Source organism: Homo sapiens, chromosome 11 (genome assembly GCF_000001405.40).
Source record: "Homo sapiens chromosome 11, GRCh38.p14 Primary Assembly".
Lineage (NCBI taxonomy): Eukaryota > Metazoa > Chordata > Mammalia > Primates > Hominidae > Homo > Homo sapiens.
The window spans coordinates 68,960,626-68,981,355 of record NC_000011.10 but is presented as its reverse complement, the minus strand read 5'-3'; the positions used below and the strand labels follow the sequence as shown (position 1 = coordinate 68,981,355).

Here is a 20,730-nt window from a genome sequence, read left to right as displayed (position 1 = left end):
TTCTATCAAATAGTTTTTCTACATCTATTGATAATAATGATTTTTCTATAATAGATGTAGAAAAAGCATTTGATAAAATTCAATACCTCTCCATGATTTAAAAAATAATTCAAAGCAAGATAGAAGAGAATTTTTTAACCTGATAAAGGGTATTTATAACAGCTTTGTAGCTATAAAGGTGACCCTGGAGGCAGATCTGGGCTGAGTGAGTCACAGGAGTGGGGGAAGGTTAAGCCTCCCGGTCATGGTCTGTTACATAAAGAACCTGGAGGGGAGAGCTCTGAAGCTGGAAATTCGAGGGGCACCCAGGGGTCCCCCGTGGTCCCAGCAACACAGAATTTCACATTGGTACATCTTCCTCTCGTAGGGATGAACCAGACTTTGAATAGCAGTGGGACCGTGGAGTCAGCCCTAAACTATTCCAGAGGGAGCACAGTGCACACGGCCTACCTGGTGCTGAGCTCCCTGGCCATGTTCACCTGCCTGTGCGGGATGGCAGGCAACAGCATGGTGATCTGGCTGCTGGGCTTTCGAATGCACAGGAACCCCTTCTGCATCTATATCCTCAACCTGGCGGCAGCCGACCTCCTCTTCCTCTTCAGCATGGCTTCCACGCTCAGCCTGGAAACCCAGCCCCTGGTCAATACCACTGACAAGGTCCACGAGCTGATGAAGAGACTGATGTACTTTGCCTACACAGTGGGCCTGAGCCTGCTGACGGCCATCAGCACCCAGCGCTGTCTCTCTGTCCTCTTCCCTATCTGGTTCAAGTGTCACCGGCCCAGGCACCTGTCAGCCTGGGTGTGTGGCCTGCTGTGGACACTCTGTCTCCTGATGAACGGGTTGACCTCTTCCTTCTGCAGCAAGTTCTTGAAATTCAATGAAGATCGGTGCTTCAGGGTGGACATGGTCCAGGCCGCCCTCATCATGGGGGTCTTAACCCCAGTGATGACTCTGTCCAGCCTGACCCTCTTTGTCTGGGTGCGGAGGAGCTCCCAGCAGTGGCGGCGGCAGCCCACACGGCTGTTCGTGGTGGTCCTGGCCTCTGTCCTGGTGTTCCTCATCTGTTCCCTGCCTCTGAGCATCTACTGGTTTGTGCTCTACTGGTTGAGCCTGCCGCCCGAGATGCAGGTCCTGTGCTTCAGCTTGTCACGCCTCTCCTCGTCCGTAAGCAGCAGCGCCAACCCCGTCATCTACTTCCTGGTGGGCAGCCGGAGGAGCCACAGGCTGCCCACCAGGTCCCTGGGGACTGTGCTCCAACAGGCGCTTCGCGAGGAGCCCGAGCTGGAAGGTGGGGAGACGCCCACCGTGGGCACCAATGAGATGGGGGCTTGAGAGCCGCCCACAGGTGCTTCCCACCTGTGCGAGCCCATGCCCTGGAGATTCCCGAGCCGTGAGCTGCCTCCCACCTCGTCCCTGCCAAGTGTCTGGCCCGCCTTCTTGGGGGAGCCCCAAGGACTTTGCAGCTGCATGTGGGGGTCACTTCCCTGCATGTCAAAACTCCCCACAACACCTGTGTCCTGGATCTCACAATGCAACCCCGCTGGAAGATGCAATTTATTTGTTTATAGCAGATTATCTGGTTGGGGGAAAATATTAGCTTTTAGCCCTACCCTGCTTTAAGCTGGTTATCTATGGGTGGATAACAGGAATCTCATTTGAATATGAAAGCTTTCTCCCAACCACCTTCTCTGCCTAAGACGGCATCTTTGTGGAGGAGGCAGGTGACCTCGGGTGATCTTTGGCCCTATGCTGGTCCTTGGGTGGCATCAACTGGCCACCAAGGTGGTGCCCCCGTGCACCTTTCCCCAGGTGTGCCTGAAGTCTGGCAAGTAAACGGTGTCGCCATCGCCGACCCGGATCTCGCTGGCTGTGGGCCATGAGACTCTGCCCCACCATCCCTCTGACCCCTGGCCAGCCCTTGACCCCTGGCATTTGCTATGAGGTCGCCTTACCCTGTCACCCCTCGCACCCAGGGCAGGCCTGTTCGCTTTCCTCCAGGCCGCACTGGGAAGGGAAGAGCCTCTGCCTGGCTTCACTGGCAGTCACTCCAGCAGATGCTGATAGGACAGTGCCCCAGGCAGTGGAGGGCAGCCTTCCAGGCAGTGTCCCCCAGAGCCAGAGTCTCATACCTCACTGACTGTCCCTCCCAGGGCCCCCTCACTTTGCCCAAAAGCCCAAAGACGGAACATCTGGGACACACATCAGCTGGCTCCACTCTCCTCCCTCCCCCTTTCCTTCCCACAGTCCCCTGGGTCCAGAACAAGGCAGATGTTTCCTGCACTTTCCACAAATCACAGCCCTTTCCTACCACCCAGCATCCAGCCTCGAGGCTCGGGGCTTGCATGGAGGGGGTGCAAGACAGGAGGTCCCTGCAGAGTCAGTCCTGGACTTAAAGAGGTGAGGGAGGAGGAAAGACGGAAGTGGAAAGATCCTGTCTCCAGACCACAGCCTGGCCTGCAAGCCTGGCACCTGGCTGCGTCATCCTGTTTTTCATGTCAGAAGGTGAAAATGATCTTGTTCTTTCTCTTGGCATCTTTCTGAAGCAGTTTTCAGTCTCCTCCCAAAAGATGGAGCCTTCGAGCCAGCCAGGGCACAGGTCAGATCCTGAGACAGGAGAGGACAGCTCATCAGTAAGCTATAAAATACACCCCTGGAATCAACTCTCACAGCCTGCGGTTCTGTGCCGTGGCAGGTGATGGTGTCCTGGGGACTCGAAGACTGTGCCCTGGACAGGACTCCCCTTCCTGGGCTCCCCCTGTTTGTTCATTGCCCTGGGCTGGGGGCTGTGCAGCCCTCCCAGAAGGAGAAATTACCTCTGAGTGCTTTCCCACCTAGGGCTCAGGCCCCCAGGTCTGTGTGTCCCAGAGAAGCATGCGAGGCAGAGTGGTGGCTCTTTCTCAGTCGTTCCAGCATTTAGCGGAGCACTTGGTACCAGCACTGGCCTCAAATGCCAGATGCACTTAACAAGTGCTCATTTGGCCAGTAAGAGTAACTGATGCCTGTACAGTGCTTTACAGCCCACGTTTTGTCCAGGATCCAACCCATATCTTCTGACTACAAACCCCATGCTTCACAACCCTTCTCCAACCTGGGCAGCCACGAGGTGGCCCAGTCTAAAGCCGACGGTTGGTAGGAAGAACATCTCGCTTCTTAGCACTCAGTGGCTACCACAGGGCCCCTCATTTGCAAGGGGAGGAGCCCTAGAAATTGTTCACACAATGATGTTATGTTTCGATAAAACATATAAAATGATATATCTGTTAGACCTTCTACTCCGGTACCTCCATCACACTCCACTTTAGGTCAGGTGGCACTGGTGTGCCCACAGGTATTTGGGGGGTGGGGCTGAGTGGAAGAGGAGTTAGGGGGTCCCTGCAGTTTGGGCTTAGTGAGGTGCATTTATGTGGTTTCCGATCACTTCTGTGTGTGGTTAGGCAATTGCTAGCACCCCAGGGTAGGAATGGCTCCCAGAAACGTTGCCACTGCCTGCTGTGCCAGCTCCCCGGGCATCGTGCAAAGAGCTGCCTGAAAAAATGAACAGATAAAGGAAGTATGTGGGGGAGTGGGTAACAGAGAAGAAATAAGATTTGAAATGTACAGAATCAGAAGCTAGCTTATAGAAGAATCCTCCAATCCCCAGATGTACAACTCTAAATGGGGGGTTCTGTTCTCACGGGTGCCTGCTCAGAGCAGGTCTCACCTGTTAGCAAGATCCTTGCTAATGCAGCATGTGTAATCAGAACACATACCATACCTCTTTTCTCCTGGGAAATGTGAAAGTACCATTCATGAGACACCCTGTTTTTGTATCCAAAATGCTGGAGCAGGAATACAAATGGCAAAAACGTCTCTGTGTGAAGTTGCATGTTTTATGTATCCAGCTATCACTCACTTAAAATAAATCCAATCAATGAGGAAAAACACAATTATCTTTCTCTTTTCTCCATAGAAAGTGTACAAAATTGATCTATGAAGAGGCAAGCAACAGTATGCAGCCAAAAATGTAGGACAAATATTAGAAAGGTTTGTTAAGCAGCTAATTATTAAAAATATTATAGGGCTTTTAATATTTTATGAAGTTTGTGTTACCTGCTCTTGCTTAAAAAACAATGTTTGATTTACTTTCTCATTCTAAATAAGTATTCATTTTCATACCTAATTTTGTATTTGTAACTTTCCTTCCTTCTTTTCTTCCCCCTTAAAAAGGGCCCCAAATCCTGTAGAAATTTTAGGTTCCATAAACCCTGGATCCAACCAGGAGCAGCGAGCCCTCTGGCCACACTAGAGCGCTGGAGATTTCCGTGTGAATAACCATAAAATTCCAGTAGCATAGTCCACACTGTCTGACAGCTCAATCCTTTGCTGAAACAAGTTTTCTTGTTGAGCCCCCGATTTCCCCAATCCCATCCCAAGGTTCAGCCCTGTGGGGTCCCAGGTGGGAACCAGATGCGGAGGGAGGATGAGGGTCCTCCCACCACTCACTGATGGGGACAGGGCCTGGCTCTGGGAGTGAGGAGACGGGGGCTCCCCTCTGCCTTCTGGGTTCCCTCAGGCCAGGTATTCCCCCCTGTGGCCTCTTCTTCCCCAGCTGTGTAATGGGAACAATCAACCTCACCCTGCACTCCCCCTGAGGCCCCTGCGGGCTGCCGCAGGAAACTGGATCAAGAACACATGTTCTAAACAATCAAAAGTGATTCCAGAAAGGAATTCCTGACAAGAACAGCTTGATCAGGCCAACAAACACAGCTTGGTTTGGTTTGGAAATAGGTGGCTTCCAGATTGCTTGTTTAATAGAGATGAACAAAGCATACATAAATGCTGCAGACCACAGCGTCAGGAGGCAAACAGTACCAAGTTCTTTATTTTCTATCATGGTACTTTCCTTTCTCTGGAGCCCCCAGTAGGACTCTTGGCAGAGACTTGGGTGCAGTCAGTTCAGGAAGGGCCCAGTCAACTCCAGGCTCCCCACTCCCCATCCCAGGAGTTGCCTCTCAGTCGTGGCCTCCCACGGACTGGACATTGTCTCCTCCATCCTTGTCGTTATCTACTTCCTGTGGCAGCCATTATCAGGTCACCTGATTTTTGTTCCCAGAGTCCCAAATTTATCTGCAACTTCCATCACCTCCACTGGCTAATTGCTGTAATAAAGCGTTCTCAAATCTCATGGTGCAGCATAATGAAAGTTTTCTTGCTTATACCATAGACCAATGCAGGTGGATGGGAGGCTCTGCTCTACTCTGTCACTCAGAGACCCAGGCTTCTGATGATGTAGGACAGGTGAGCCCCCAAACTGGGGCTCAGCCAGGAGAGTTCTTGGCTTTGCCCAGGAAAGAATTCAAGGTGAGCCAGTGGTGCCGGGCACGGTGGCTCACGCCTGTAATCCCAGCACTTTGGGAGGCCGAGGCGGGTGGATCACCTAAGGTCGGGAGTTCGAGACCAGCCTGACCAACATGGTGAAACCCTGTCTCTACGAAAAATGCAAAATTAGCCGGGCATGGTAGTGCATGCCTGTAATCCCAGCTACTTGGGAGGTTGAGGCAGGAGAATCGCTTGAACCCGGGAGGCGGAGGTTGCGGTGAGCCGAGATCAGGCCATTGCACTGCACTCCAGCCTGGGCAAAAAGAGCAAAACTCCATCTCAAAAAAAAAAAAAAAGGTGAGCCAGTGGTGTTAAGACAGCAACTTTCATTGAAGTGGCAGAGGTACTGCTCCTTGCAAAGCACACTACCCCATAGGCAGTGTGTCCAGATCAGCAGCTCAGAGGCTGTGCTGCACTCATATTTACACCCACTTTTTAAAAAAAAATTTTTTTTTGAGATAGATCTTGCTCTGTTGCCCAGGCTGGAGTGCAGTGGTGCAATCTCAACTCACTGCAACTTCTGCCTCCCAAGGTCAGGTATCCTCCTCACTAAGTCTCCATAGTAGCTGGGATTACAGCTGCACACCATCACGCCCAGCTAATTTTTATATTTTTTATAGAAAGGAGGTCTCACTATGTTGCCCAGGCTGATCTTGAACTCCTGGGCTTAAGCAATCCACCTGTCTCAGCCTCCCACAGTGCTGAGATTACAAGTGTGAGCCACCACACCTGGCCTATACCCACTTTCAATTATATGCAAGTTAAGGGGTAGATTATGCAGAAATTTCTAGAAATAAGGTGGTAACTTCTAGGTTATCAGATCCTGGTCATGGAAAAGGGGCGGTAACTTCCAGGTGTTGCCATGGCAATGGCAAACTGACATGGCACTGGTGGGTGTGTCTTAAGGTCAGGTGCTTTCCCCTCTTCCCTGTCTTCAATCTGGCCAAAAGTCTTCCAATCTGGCCAAAAGTTCAAACCCTGCCTCTGGAGTCGTGGTCCACCTCCTACCTCACTTCTACCTTATGGCTCTGCCCTCTGCCAGATCCTCATGGCCTCTCATTCAGCCAGAGGATGGGAGGAGAAAAGAGGAGAGGTCAAACATGGCAGGCCTCTACCATGAAGCATTCCACTGGCTGGAGTTCAGTCATGTGACCCATACCACAGAGGAGTCTGGGAAATGTAGTCCAGCTGAGAGGTGACAGCGTGCTGGCAGTCATCACAGCCCTCGCTCGCTCTCGGCGCCTCCTCTGCCTGGGCTCCCACTTTGGCGGCACTAGAGGAGCCCTTCAGCCCACCACTGCACTGTGGGAGCCCCTTTCTGGGCTGGCCAAGGCTGGAGCCGGCTCCCTCAGATTGCAGGGAGGTGTGGAGGGAGAGGCGCGAGCAAGAACCGGGGCTGGGCACGGCGCTTGCGGGCCAGCTGGAGTTCCAGGTGCGAGTGGGCTTGGCGGGCCCCGCACTCGGAGCAGCTGGCCGGCCCCAGGCAATGAGGGGCTTAGCACCCAGGCCAGCGGCTGCGGAGGGTGTACTGGGTCCCCCAGCAGTGCTATCCCACTGGTGCTGCGCTCAATTTCTCGCTGGGCCTAGCTCAGGGATTGTAAACGCACCAATCAGTGCCCTGTCAAAACAGACCACTTGGCTCTACCAATCAGCAGGATGTGGGTGGTGCCAGATAGGAGAATAAAAGCAGGCTGCCGGAGCCAGCAGTGTCAATCCGCTCAGGTCCCCTTCCACACTGTGGAAGCTTTGTTCCTTCGCTCTTTGCAATACATCTTGCTACTGCTCACTCTTTGGGTCCACACTGCCTTTATGAGCTGTAACACTCACTGCGAAGGTCTGCAGCTTCACTCCTGAAGCCAGTGAGACCACGAACCCACTGGGAGGAACGAACAACTCCAGACATGCCGCCTTCAGAGCTGTAACACTCACCGCGAAGGTCCGCAGCTTCACTCCTGAGCCAGTGAGACCACGAACCCACCAGAAGGAAGAAACTCTGAACACATCCGAACATCAGAAGGAACAAACTCCAGACGCACCACCTTAAGAGCTGTAACGCTCACCGCAAGGGTCCACGGCTTCATTCTTGGAGTCAGTGAGACCAAGAACCCACCAATTCCAGACACACAGCCATGCACTCTGGTGGGCCAGGAGAGGTGATATAGGCAAGTTCTCACTGTCTCAACCAGAGCAGCTCCTGCCTTGTTTGCAAGAAAGGAAAGAAAGGGGCAGAAAAGGACTGCAGGAAAAGCAAGGCACAATCAATACGCCAAAGCATTGCCCCACGATGCAAATTCATGCTGTTTTCTTTTTCCCTAACTCTTCATGTTGCCATTTGTGATACTGTCTAGGAACTGATGCTCTGAAATTAACAGGATGTTAACATAACTTATTCATGCACTGAATAAACATTTCTCAGACCCCTATTATGTGCCTGTCTCTGTTGTGGACCCCAGGTGAATGTCTGAGCTTTTACTTTCTGTCCAGTCTTTGGGGCACACTGGCCAGTTGTCACGACCTGAGGCCTCCTCTCCCTCATCCGTGCACATGAGACAGAACATCATGGTCTGATTTAACCTTCAGGTCACTCCCTGAGGTAGGTGGGAACATTGTCTCCCTTAGATAGTGACAGCTGCCAAGTGGCAGAACCAGCCCTGGAATCAAATTCCTCTGGCCGCTCCTTGACTGTTGGCTCCAGCTCCTTCTGATTGAAGCGACCTTTGCAAAAATTATAACTGTGGAAATTATGACAGTGAAAGAAATCAGACCTAACCAACTCTGTCTTGCTTCGAACCTTTTAGCTGTCCTGTTCATTCCTGGGCATAGGCCCAACTAACTTTGGGAAGGAATTCAGTTCATGGTTTGACTCTGAAACAAAATTGATAACAGCCCTTTCCCAAAAAGACCCCCTTCTTGCCTGGGGACCAGTCTGCCTTTGCAGGACTAACAAATTAGCTACAAGATTAGAAATTACAGTTTAGGGGTCATGCAGTCTCTGGCTCCAAGAGTCTGAACCTCCCCAAATTGCTCCTGAGGATAATATCACTATTGTAAAACCTAAGATCAGTGCTTGAGATATTTTGCAGACCTTGCACTCGATGGACCAGTTGACACCACTCAGACCGGTAGTCTTGTTCAACCAGTTCTGCCATCCCACCCAGGAACAAAAGACGGCAAGAAAAACTTACTTTGATCCCCTGTGATTCCATCTCCAGCCTGACCAATCAGCACTCCCCACTTCCCAAGCCCCTACCCACCAAATGATCTTTAAAAACTCTGATCCCCAAATGCTCAGAGAGACTGATTTGAGAATTATTAAAACTCCAGTCTCCTGCACAGCCAGCTCTGCATGAATTACTCTTTCTCCATTGCAATTCCCGTCTTGATAAATGGGCTCTGTCTAAATGGGCTCTTGTCTAAATGGGCAAGGTGAACCCATTGGGCAGTTAGACTTCTACCATCTCAGGCTGAGAGGGTCAATAATAGGTGTCCACTATATGCTTGGCATGCGGCACAGCACAAGTGTGTCTCAGAGGAGGCATTAAAGTAAAGCCATCCAGCACATTCAACAGGTCATTGCTGCTGCTTTTTTTTATTTTTATTTTTATTTTTATTTTTATTTTTGAGATGGAGTCTTGCTCTGTCGCCCAGGCTGGAGTGCAGTGGAGCAATCTCGGCTCACTGCAGCCTCCACCTCCTGGGTTAAAGTGATTCTCCTGCCTCAGCCTCCCGAGTAGCTGGGATTACAGGCACCCACCATCATGCCCGGGTAATTTTTGTAGTTTTAGTGGAGACGGGTTTTGCCATATTGGCCAAGCTGGTCTCAAACTCCTGACCTTAAGTGATCCGCCCATCTTGACCTCCCAGAGTGCTGGGATTTCAGACGTGAGCCACCATGCCCAGCCATGCCTGCCAGTTTTAACTTGAGCGTGCCTCTTCCCTGTTTTCAGTCCACTGGGCTTAGGTGGGGTGGCTGTCACCCTTTGTTCCCTGTCCCTGCCTCCAGCTCTTATATTAAAAATATTTTTAATACAGGATTTTTAATGGAGATGTATTTTTAATGGAGATGGGGTTTCGCCATGTTGGCCAGGCTGGTTTCAAACTCCTGACCTCAGGTGATCTACCTGCCTCGGCCTCCCAAAGTGTTGGGATTACAGGCGTGAGCCACCGCGCCTGGCCAGGTCATTGCTTATTAAAGATGCACTGCATTTGCAGCAAAGGTGAAAAACAGAAACAGAAACCATGGTCCTAGTTGTCAAAGAGCTCACTGACTAGTTGGGCAGACAAAACCAATCCACTTAAAAAGACAGAACAGAGCTGGGTGTGTCGGTACAAGCCTGTAGTTCCAGCTACCCTGAAGGCTGAGTCAGGAGGATCACTTGAGCCCAGGAGTTCAAGGCTCCAGTGAGCTATGAGTGTGCCAATGCACTCCAGCCTGGGTGACAGAGGTGGACTCCATTTCTTAAAAATTAAAAAAGAACAGTAAGGGCTGTAGATGTGATAAGGGGAATGGAGAGTCTCAGGAGAAGGAAGTGAGGGCTTGAAAGTCTGGGGGACTTCCCGGAGGAGGCAGGCACTGCCTATGCCTTGAAGGATAATAAGGATACACTGGACAAAGAGGAAGGAGAAGGCATCCAGATCAGGGAATCAGATGTACTCCAAATGCCCCTCTCTCAGGGGTGGTCTGATTGCCACTCTTCCTCCAACAGAGTCAGCCTCCACCCTCCTGATCATGCTGCGGGTCCCTCTCCGGCCATGATCAAAGACCTGTATCTGATCTGGCCTACGAGACTGGGCACCAGTGCTCAGGGAGCTTGCCGATGAAATCAGGGAGCCCCAGGGCAGATTGGCTACTGGGTCTCCCTCTGGAAGGCACCAGAACCTTCCAGAAATGGCAGAGGCACAGGAACTCAGGACCACCCTGCCCCCTGCTCTCACCACTTGCCTCTCTGTACATCGGCTCCATCCTTCTGTCTTGCACACGGGCCACCTCTGCCCCTGCATCCTGGAGGAATAGCCAGTTCCAAAGCCCAAGTTCTCCTGCCTCGGATCCAGTCCCACAGAAGCTGCATTTGCCCCTCAGGTCCAATTCTGGATTTCAAGGAGAGAGAATTAGAGTGACAAGTTGAGAAATGAAGAGGACCTTATTTTGTTATCTTTAAATTTATTGATTTCTTAAAGAACTAAGAGAAAGTTCAGGTAAAAATTAACAGGATATGAAACAGATGGGATAAAAGATGAATATTGAAATCAACAGAAATCAGTTTGAAACTGAGAACTGAATTGTAACCAAAAGCAATTCATTAAGAGGAAAAGATCAATTTGGAATAGAAGAAATCAGTAGGCTCCTGGATTTTTGATCGTCCAATTCATGATGAGGAGTACATTTTATGAACATATTGGGAAATATTTAAATTTCTTGCTGGTTTGACATCAAGGAAGACAACTTACATCTTGAAAAACCACTGCAGCACGGACATTGACAATAATGAATTAACGAGTGTTATCGCTTCAAAGACTATTTCAGATTAATCACTGCACAAGAAAAGCTGAAATGCCCTGAAATCTCACCAATCATATATGAAAAACAACTTGAGAGGGGTCTTCAAAATTTGACAACAATCCGAAAAATGTACAGGACATTAGCAATAATCAGTTGTGAAGCTAAGAAACATCTAAAAACAATACAAAACACATTTTGATCACCCATGCTAAAACAAGATTGAATTAGCTTTTGATTCTCACTGTGGAAAATATTCAAAACCGTTGACATCTGAAAAGGATATCAAAGAGTGTCAGCCAAAAAAGGTAAAAAAATTATCACGACTGTTTTTCTGTATTATGTATTACTTGTGATATTTGTCAGCTTTTTAAAATCTGTAATTTGCTGTGATTTCTTTTCTCGTTTTAAATAAGTGTTCAATGTTGTCCCTAATTTTGTATTTATAAATTCATATTCCTTTTTTTTTTTTTTGAAATGGGGGGTCTCACTCTGTCACGCAGGCTGGAGTACAGTGGCACGATTACGGCTCACTGCAGCCTTGACCTCCTGGCCTCTAGTGATCCTTCCACCTCAAGCCTCCTGAGTAGCTGGGACTACAGGCGTGTGCCAGCATGCCAGGCTAATTTTTGTATTTTTTGTAGAGATGGGGTTTTGCCATGTTGCCCAGGCTGGTCTTGAACTCCTGGGCTCAAGCAATCCTCCCGCCTCAGCCTCCCAAAGTACTGGGGTTACAGGCGTGAGTCACCGCGCCCAGCCTGTATTCTTTTTCTTAATAAGCGCCACTCCTTGGATGGATAAGCTTTAGGTCCCACAAAATAATGTGCCCCCTGGATGGAAGGCAGAGAAGTTCCTTTCCAATTCCAGATGGTCAGGAGTTAACCGGGGACAGCTTGAGGGTCGATACTGGGCTTGCAGCTGCTGCCATACACGTTCATGAAAAGCAGGAGAATACTCAGGCCCTGGGCCAGGGTGGCGGCATCTGACTGCCCTGCATACCTTACTCAACATAGTGACAAGTCAGCCTCTAACTTCTTATTTTGAGATTCAGACTGAAGCTGAAGACTTTTTTTTTTTTTTTTTTTTTTTTTTTGAGAGAGAGAGAGAGAGAGTCTCATTCTGTCGCCCAGGCTGGAGTGCAATGGCGTGATCTCGGCTCACTGCAACCTCCACCTCCCAGGTTCAAGCAATTCTCTGCCTCAGCCTCCCGAGTAGCTGGGATTACAGGCACCTGCCACCACACCCTGCTAATTTTTTTTTTATTTTTAGTAGAGACGGGGTTTCACCATTTTGGCCAGGCTGTTCTTGAACTCCTGACTCCTTGATCCACCCGCCTCGGCCTCCTGAAGTGCAAGGACTACAGGCGTGAGCCACCACGCCCGGCCGAAACCTAAGACTTCCTATGCAGTGCTGGAAGAACCACCTCCTCTGCCTGTTTTTGTAGCCTGGGCGCTGATTGATTTGGGAAAAGCAACTCTCACGATGCACTTCTGCAGTTGGCTAGATCAGACGCCTGTGGAATTCACAGCTTCATGGGTCTGTTATTCACTCCACAAACATTTCTGAGCACTCACCATGAGCCAGGCATTCCTTGTAAGAGGCTGCACATCCATCCATGGAAAAGGAGACATTCGGAAATTCCCGGAAGACACAGGACAGATCCTGACCCCAACCAGCCAAACCGTGAAGAACCACCCAGGGGCTTCTTCTGCCTGAAGGAGGTCGTCCTCCCCGATCTGAGGAGGCGGTCCCAGCCTTCCTAGAAGAGTTGCTGCCCTCTCCAGGGAGCTGCTGCCCTCTCCAGGGAGCTGCATTACAGGAAACAAGATTCCCCCCGCCCTACCCTCACAGTCATCCTTACCTTGGATCAGATCCCTGCGTGACCCAGGGTGGCTGGAGAGGAACGCAGGAATTTCATACTCTGCTGTTCAACATCTGGGTGATTTCTGTGGGAATGACATTTTGGGAGCGCTTAACAGAGGAGGGAGTCCGTTATTGAAGATCGAATGGAATGCGTCGATATGCGTGCATTTATAGAGCCCCTGCGTCCCACGGCCAGGCCCACAGGGTTGGATGTGGCCTAAGAATCTGGTTAGCATGGATCTGAAACTCACCCAGGCCAGGGAAGTCAGAGGACAGAAAGCCCGCTGCATAGAATGTAGAGGGAAGAACTCAAATACGTCAGAAAAAAACAGGTGAATCTCCCACGGCAGCCACTCTGCCACTCACCACTCCCCACAGAGGACCCAGAGGATGCTGTCCCCCAGGACTGGGGACATATGTGGCGAAGGATGCGCCAGGACATTCTCGGATGCTCTGGCCATGGGGAGAGGGATATTTGGGAAGTGCATGCACTAGAGAAAGGACGTGTACAGATAGGTGGCCCTATTGCCTGCGGTGGGTCCAACGTCCAATCCCCTTTCTAAAGCATCCAGAACACCCTTGGTAGGAATGGCCACCCTGACTTGATGAGAGGGTAAATCCAGTACCTTGTGCCCTGGAAGCATAAGGAACCCCTTGCTGAAAATCCTCCTCATCGTCTCATACAACCAGGGACAGGCGTGGCCTGCACTGGGTGAAAGGGTGTATCCCAAAATGCCGCACTCACCAGAATCTCAGAATGTGGCCTGATTTGGAAATGGGGTCTTTGCAGATGTACTTAGCTAGGATGAGGTCATATGGAGAAGTGAGGGCCCCAATCCAATATGGCAGGTGTCCTTATCAGAAAGCCATGTGAACAGACAGAGATGGAAAGGAGAACACTGCCTGATGAAGGAGGCAGAGGCTGGAGTGAGGCAGTTACAAGGCAAGGAACGCCAGGGTTGTAGGAGCCACCAGAAGCTGGGAAAGGGGCAAAGAGCGGATCCTCCCCTAGAGCATCCAGAGGGAGCCAACCTGACCCTGCTTTCATCTCAGACTTCTGGCCTCCAACACTGTGAGAGAATGAATTCCAGTTGTGTTAAGCCACCAAGTTTCTGGTATTTATGGCAGCACGGAAAACCAATACACAGCCTAGGGCTGCCCACTGACACCTACACTCCCAGAGAACTGAAGCTCGACACAAGTAAACCAACAAGAGAAGGCGCCCTGGCCACTTCTGGCCCTTGAGTAGCTCCTGTACTTCTCCAGCCTGTTCTCTAGGCAACAGTCAATTCAGCAGCTCCTTCACAGGCTTCCAATGAATGTCTATCTTTTTTATTTTTTCCTTAAGTCAGACAGGGCTGATAATAGCTGTCTCAACCAAGGAACCCAGACACACTTAATTGTCATTTGGGTAACTGCATAAGTGGAGATGTTTTGGGCAGCAAGAGAATGAAACTGAGGTCAAACTGGATCAAAGGGAAAGGAATGTATTTGCTTTAGTAACTAAAAGCTCCAAAATATCACGGCTTCAGGCATGGGTCGATCCAGGTGACCTAACAGTGTCATCAGGAACCTGTTTCTCTCTCTCCATCAGCTCTGCTCTCCACTGTGACCTTTTTCTCAGGCAGGCACTCCCCCTTAGTTGGCATAATGGGTTCCCACTGTGCAGACTTCCTTCCGTCCCACCAGCTCCGTGACTCCAGAAGGAGGAGAGTTCCTTTTCCACAGTACTTCCCAGAAAACTTCTGGGACTGACTCTTGTTGGATAAATTGCAATTGAGTCTTCTTGGACTAGAGACTGATGTACTTTTCCCAAAACGAATTATGGAGCCAATGGGGTGGAATAGGCTGATTGTCCAAGTCTGGAGCATGTTAAACTCAAGTGAAGCCAGAAGTGAGGTCACAATCCCCCACCGAACAACATCGGGGCCATGGACGTCATGGCCATTGGCTGGCCAGGTTTGGGATTTGGCTGGCCTCCAACTCTCTTAAAAGCATGGTTGTCTTGTGGAATATGTGCGTCCCATCAACTCCCATAATCAAAGCCAAGGCCTTGCAGAGTCACGGTCCTTCAATTGGCACCAGGGCCAAGATGTTCCTCTGATTTTCCCCAGCTCTTCCTGGTCTGCAACCTGGCTCTGTCAGTCATGCAATATCTGCGGGGTTGGGGGGACACTGCAAGGAACTGAACTGAATTTAATCCTCCTGAAGAATGTCAAAAACTGTGACTATAGGAGCACTGCCAGGACAGCCATGGGAGGAACTGATAAAAGAGGTAGGAAAATCAGGACATCACCCCGCGTCAATGTAACTACCAACACAAGCTGGAATAACAGCCAACTGTAGCTTTCGTTCCATAGAAACAGAGCGCAGATCCACTGTAGCTTTGTAGCCATGTGGGGCTACCTCCCCACATCCTGGGCTGGGCTGTTGTTTGCTGTTGCTGCTCACTGATAAAATCTGCTACTTTTGTGTTTATGAGTCTGTGTGTTCCTTTAGGTCTTGATTTCTATTTCCCCAACATGGTTCATCTGCTCTGCCCCCATCCCCAGGTCACAGCTGAGGGGACAGATGGCTCTCACAGTTGGGATGACATCCAGCTTCTCAGGCAGGAAGCGTGCCCTGGAGGGACTTTCTCAGGTTGGCTGGCAGGACCCCTGCCTTTGCCGGGACTTCAGTGTGGAGTGGGGCATTCGTCGCTGCCTACAAGTTTAGCTCACTTGACTCTTGCTATAGTTTTGAGTGTATGTGTCCCTTCAAAATTCATATGTTAAAATTTAACCACCAGTGTGATAATATTAAGAGGTGAGAACTTTAGGAGGTGACTGGTGCCCTTATGAGAGGGATCGGGGAAACTAGCCAGCCCCTTTTGCCCTTCAGCCATGTGAGGACATAGGAAAAGGTGCCACTATGAAGGCAAGACTGGGCCTTCACCAGATACCAAGTCTGCTGGCACCTTGATCTTGGACTTCCCAGCCTCCAGAACTGAGAGAAATAAATTTCTTTCTTCTTCTTTTTTTTTTTTTTTTTTACTTTTTGAGACAGGGTCTCACTATGTTACCCAAGCTGGAGTACAGTGGCACAATCATAGCTCACTGCAGACTTGAACTCCTGGGCTCAAGTGATCCTCCTGCCTCAGCCTCCTGAGTAGCTGGGACTACAGGTGCAAGCCGCCACCCCTAGCTATTTTTTATTTTTTGTAGAGATGGGGTCTTGGTATGTTGCCCAGGCTGATCTTAAAGCCCTGGGCTCAAGCAATCCTCTTGCCTAGAAAGAAATTTCTACTCATCATAAGTATAAGTACCAGGTATAAGGTATTTTGTTATAGCAGCAGGAACTAACTATGACAACTGTCAACCTCCTTGAATTGCTAATCCCTGTTGGAAGGGACCTCTCTGCACAGATCAGTTATTCCCATTTTCAGGTAATTCAGCCCCCAGAATACTGATTTTGTTGGATAGGACCCCCTACATTCTTTAGGGGGGTGATTAAGTTAACATGAGGTCATTAGGGTAGACCCTAATCCCACATGACTGGTGTATTAGTCTGTTTTCATGTTGCTATGAATACATACCACACATTGGGTAATTTATAAAGAAAAGAGGTTTAACTGACTCACAGTTCTGCATGGCTAGGGAGGCCTCAGGAAACTTACAATCATGGAAGGCAAAACAGGCACGTCTTACCTGGTGGCAGGCAAGAGAAGTGTGTGCCAAGCAAAGGGGGAAGCCCCTTATAAAACCATCAGATCACACGAGTACCCACGCACTATCATGAGAACAGCATGAGCGTAACCACCCCCATGATTCAATTACCTCCTACCGAGTTCCTCCTGATGGGAACTACAATTCAAGATGAATTGTACACAGCCAAACGATATCAACTGGTGTCCTTATAAGAAGTGGAGATGAAGACACAGACACACACAGAAGGATAACCTTGTGACTCAGGGAGAAGGTAGCAGAGTCTGCCAGCCAAGGAGAGAGGCCTCAGGAGGAACCAGCCCTGCTGACACCTTGATCTCAGACCTCCACCCTCCAGGACTGTGGGAGAATCAATGTCTGTTGTGTAAGCCGCCTGGCCTGCAGCTTTGTAATAGCAGTCCCAGCAAATGCATGTCAGGCCTTCCTCAGCAGACACACACAGTCTGAGCACAACATCAGAGTTTACACAAAGTAGAACTTGCATAACAACTTGCCACCTTCCCGCCAGCATCACAAATGGCACAGCTGGGCATTGAGAAGAAGCTCACTGTCCCCCTCCATACCCCACGCAGACCCCACCAATCCCACACATTAGTTTGCCATATGCAACACCCCACTCCCCGCTTGCTGTTTCCCCATCAGCAAGGAATCCTGCAGTTTTGAGAGATGGAAACCTTGTAACCTACATTAAGCATGCTCCTTCTCAGAGGTTATGGCATGCACAATTAGAACATCCATGGCATGGTCTTGTGTCAGGCATGGCTGGATCCTGGTGTGATGTCGCATCAGACATAGCTGGATCCTGGTGTGATCCTTCCTCAGGCATGGCTGGATCCTGGTGTGATCCTGCCTCAGGCATGGCTGAATCCTGATGTGATCTCACCTCAGGCATGGCTGGATCCTGGTGTGATCCTGCCTCAGGCATGGCTGGATCCTGGTGTGATCCTTCATGAGGAATACCTGGATCCTGGTATGATCAGCAGCCTGGCTCTCCCCAGCTCCCAGCTTTGGCTTCCTTTGTTAAGTCCTTTTCAGGCCGGCTCCAGCCTGTGAGGGCAAGCGTGCTGCCAGCAAGACCTGCTGGTCCTCTCCTCTCCAGCTGAGAGCTCAACACTTCTCCAAAACCCCAGAAGAAGGTGGGCCAGGAGTGATGACAATTAGACCAGCTGGAGCCCTGTGCCCATTCCTGAAACAATGACCTTGGTCAGGAGGTAGACTATGCTGTGGCTGGCCTGGGCCAAATGTGAACCCACAGAACCCCACCTGGAACCCAGAGATAGGGGAAACCCAAGAGGTCTCCACAGAGGAAGAGCAAATTTGTTCTGTGCAGGAAAAATAACCATATTTCCCTACAGTGTCTGGGGTTGACTGAAGCACATTAGTCTCTGTATTAATTCATCCTCACACTGCTATAAAAGAATACCCAGTGGGGCACAGTGGCTCACGCCTGTAATCCCAGCACTTTGGGAGGCCGAGGCAGGTGGACTGCTGGAGCTCAGGAGTTCAACCCGAGCCTGGACAACATGGTAAAACCCCATCTCTCCAAAAATCAAAAAATTTGTTTTAAATTTGCCAAGTGTGGTGGTGTGTGCCTGTAGTCCCAGCTACTCAGGAGGCTGAGGTGGAAGGATGGCTTGAGCCTGGGAGGTGGAGGTTGCAGTGAACTGTGATCATGGCACCACACTCTACCCTGGATAACAAGAGAGCTCAGGCACTGTCTCAAAAAAAAAAAGAAAAAGAAAAAGAAACACCTGGGACTGGGTAATTGATAAAGAAAAAGGTTGAATTGGCTCACCGTTCTGCAGGCTGCACAGGAAGCGTGGCGGCGTCTGCTCAGCTTCCGGGGAGGCCTCCAGAAACAGTTACGGTGGAAGGCGAATGGGGAACAGGTACATCTCATCTGGTGGGAGCAGGAGGAAGAGAGAGACAGGGGCGGTGCCTCACACTGTCAACCCGATTCCGTGAGAACTCTATCACGAGAACAGCACCACGGGGGAAATCCACCCCCAGGATCCAATCACCTTCCACCAGGCCACACATCCTACAATGGGGATTACAATTCAACATGAGATTTAGGCAGGGACACAGATCCAAATCATATCAGTCTCCAAGCACATGGACTACCAGTATCTCGGTATCTGGAGTCCTGGCTCTTCCCTTTTCTGCCACCTGGTGCCAGCATGCTCCCTGCTCTCCCATGCCTGCCCTTCTCCAGCTGCGGGCCAGGACCGTGAGAACTCACATCCACAGCCTTCAAGATTCTCCATCACCAGCCAGCCCATGACATCAGGACTTTGAGCCTTTTATTCATTTCCTGTGGCTGCTGGAACAAATTGATGACATGCTTAGTGGCTAAGAAAGACACAATTTCTATTTTTTTTTTTTTTTTGAGACGGAATCTCTGTCACCCAGGCTGGAGTGCAGTGGTACGATCTCGGCTTACTGCAACCTCCGCCTCCCGGGTTCAAGCGATTCTCCTGTCTCAGCCTCCTGAGTAGCTGGGATTACAGGCACCTGCCACCACGCCCGTCTAATTTTTGCATTTTTAGTAGAGACGAGCTTTCACCATGTTGGTCAGGTTGGTCTCGAACTCCTAACCTCAAGTGATCCACCCACCTCAGCCTCCCAAAGTGCTGGGATTATAGGCGTGAGCCACTGCGCCCGGCCCACCCAATTTTTCATCTTACAGTTCTGGAGGTCAGAGGTCTCAAGCGGGGCTTTGGGGCTACAATCAAAGGCCGTGCTCCTTCCAGAGGCTGTAGGAGGGAACCCACTTCCCTGTCTTTCCCAGCTTCTAGAGGCAGCCCCTGTTCTGTGGCTCAGGGCCCTGCGTCCTTCCAACCTCCACTCTAACTCCACTTCCACGCTGACCCTCCTGCTTCCCCTTATAAGGACGCTGTGATTACATGCAGGGCCCACCCGGATCACCTCCCAGCTCAGGATCCTTTACTCAATCACTTCCACAGAGAACCTTTTGCCACATAAGGAATTAGAAATCAGGGCACTATATTTGTTGCCTGGGGCTGCCATAACAAAGTCCTACAATCTTCTTTGCTTAAAGAAGCAGTCATTTCGGCAGGGCGCGGTGGTTCACACCTGTAATCCCAGCACTTTGGGAGGCAGAGGTGGGTGGATCACCTGAGGTCAGAAGTTCAAGACCAGCCTGGCCAACATAGTGAAACCCCATCTCTACTAAAAACACAAAAATTAGCTGGGCATGGTGGCACGTGCCTGTAATCCCAGCTACTCAGGAGGCTGAGACAGAAGAATCACTTGAACCTGGGAGGCAGAGGTTGCAGTGAGCCAAGATTGTGCCACTGCACTCCAGAGCCTGGGCGACAGAGCAAGACTCCATCTCAAACAAACAAAAAAAAAGGAGTGGGCTCCAACTGGGGACAGCAATCCGGGGAGCCTCGCCCACCTGGCACTTGGCCACCAGGCACTTGGACACCCCTGTGGCCAGGAAGGGAAATGGGCCTGGCCTGCCCCAAAGGCCTGGGAGTGAAGGGAGTGGCCGGGGGTGGTCAGTGACAGCCCCAAGGAGAGAAGAGGAGTAGAACCCGATGGCATGGGGTGACGTCAGGGAGTGGTCTGGACAAGGAGCAGGGAGCCCCCGACCTCGCACCTGGGCTAGGAGGACTATGGTCAGAAAACTAAGCAATGTTCCAGAAGGGTCCTCAGCAGAGGGACCGGCTTAGTTAGGGCAAGAAGGGGTAGGGGCCACTCAGAGCAGAGGGCAGCATGAGAGGTTTTGCTGTTTGTCATCACCTCGGGATTAAAAGGATCCAGCCTGACTCTGGTGGAGGAGGAGGCAAATCTGCACATACCAGCTACCTAGAGGTGTCTTCACTCTCTGACCACACAAGGCTGTGCCCGAGCCCTTCCATCCTGGCGTCGTCACCCTGTGCATGCAGGATGCGGGAGACAGAGGCCGGTGCTCCTTGTGGGTGCCCTGACCCTCGGCGTCTCCAGGTTTGTCCTCTGCTGGGTGGACCTGCCCCAACAGACACAGACGCATTTCAGCAAGGCTGGGCACCTCAACTCGTCGGTCAGCAGCAGCACCAGCCGGTCACCTGCTTCCCTGTGGGCAGTCAGAGGAGGCAGAGGCTGCGGGAGCCCCTGGGGGCCCGGATCTGCCAGGCGGGGCAGAAAGAGTCCAAGCTGGAGGGGAGAGAAACACCCACCACAGGCACCAAGAAGATGGCGGTCTGTGAGCGGTGCCTCCGAAACCCCAGCCCTGAGCCGCCCACCCCTGCCTCCTGCCCAGGCCTGAGGCCGTGGCCAGCCATGCACAGCCCTGCCCCT

General features: G+C 50.8%; 1 protein-coding gene across 1 annotated transcript, besides 2 other annotated features; it reads left to right on the top strand.

The window, feature by feature from the left end:
- The first annotated feature begins 369 nt into the window (after positions 1 to 369).
- On the top strand, positions 370 to 1,335 carry MRGPRD (MAS related GPR family member D). Its single transcript, NM_198923.2, has one exon. The coding sequence runs from the start codon at positions 370 to 372 to the stop codon at positions 1,333 to 1,335; it is 966 nt and encodes a 321-aa protein (NP_944605.2).
- Positions 881 to 1,390: an enhancer, noted in NCBI's record as "H3K4me1 hESC enhancer chr11:68747435-68747944 (GRCh37/hg19 assembly coordinates)". NCBI's record gives its function as "activates a minimal SCP1, AML or CMV promoter by ChIP-STARR-seq in naive and primed H9 embryonic stem cells {active_cell/tissue: H9 hESC(naive and primed)}" and the evidence as "EXISTENCE:reporter gene assay evidence [ECO:0000049][PMID:30033119]".
- Positions 18,236 to 18,425: an enhancer, noted in NCBI's record as "active region_5149". NCBI's record gives its function as "activates an Ori minimal core promoter by ATAC-STARR-seq in GM12878 lymphoblastoid cells {active_cell/tissue: GM12878}" and the evidence as "EXISTENCE:reporter gene assay evidence [ECO:0000049][PMID:35858748]".

Bases quoted from the DNA above. Each gene is read 5' to 3' on its own strand.
- MRGPRD (NM_198923.2), top strand. From the start codon at position 370: ATGAACCAGACTTTGAATAGCAGTGGGACCGTGGAGTCAGCCCTAAAC.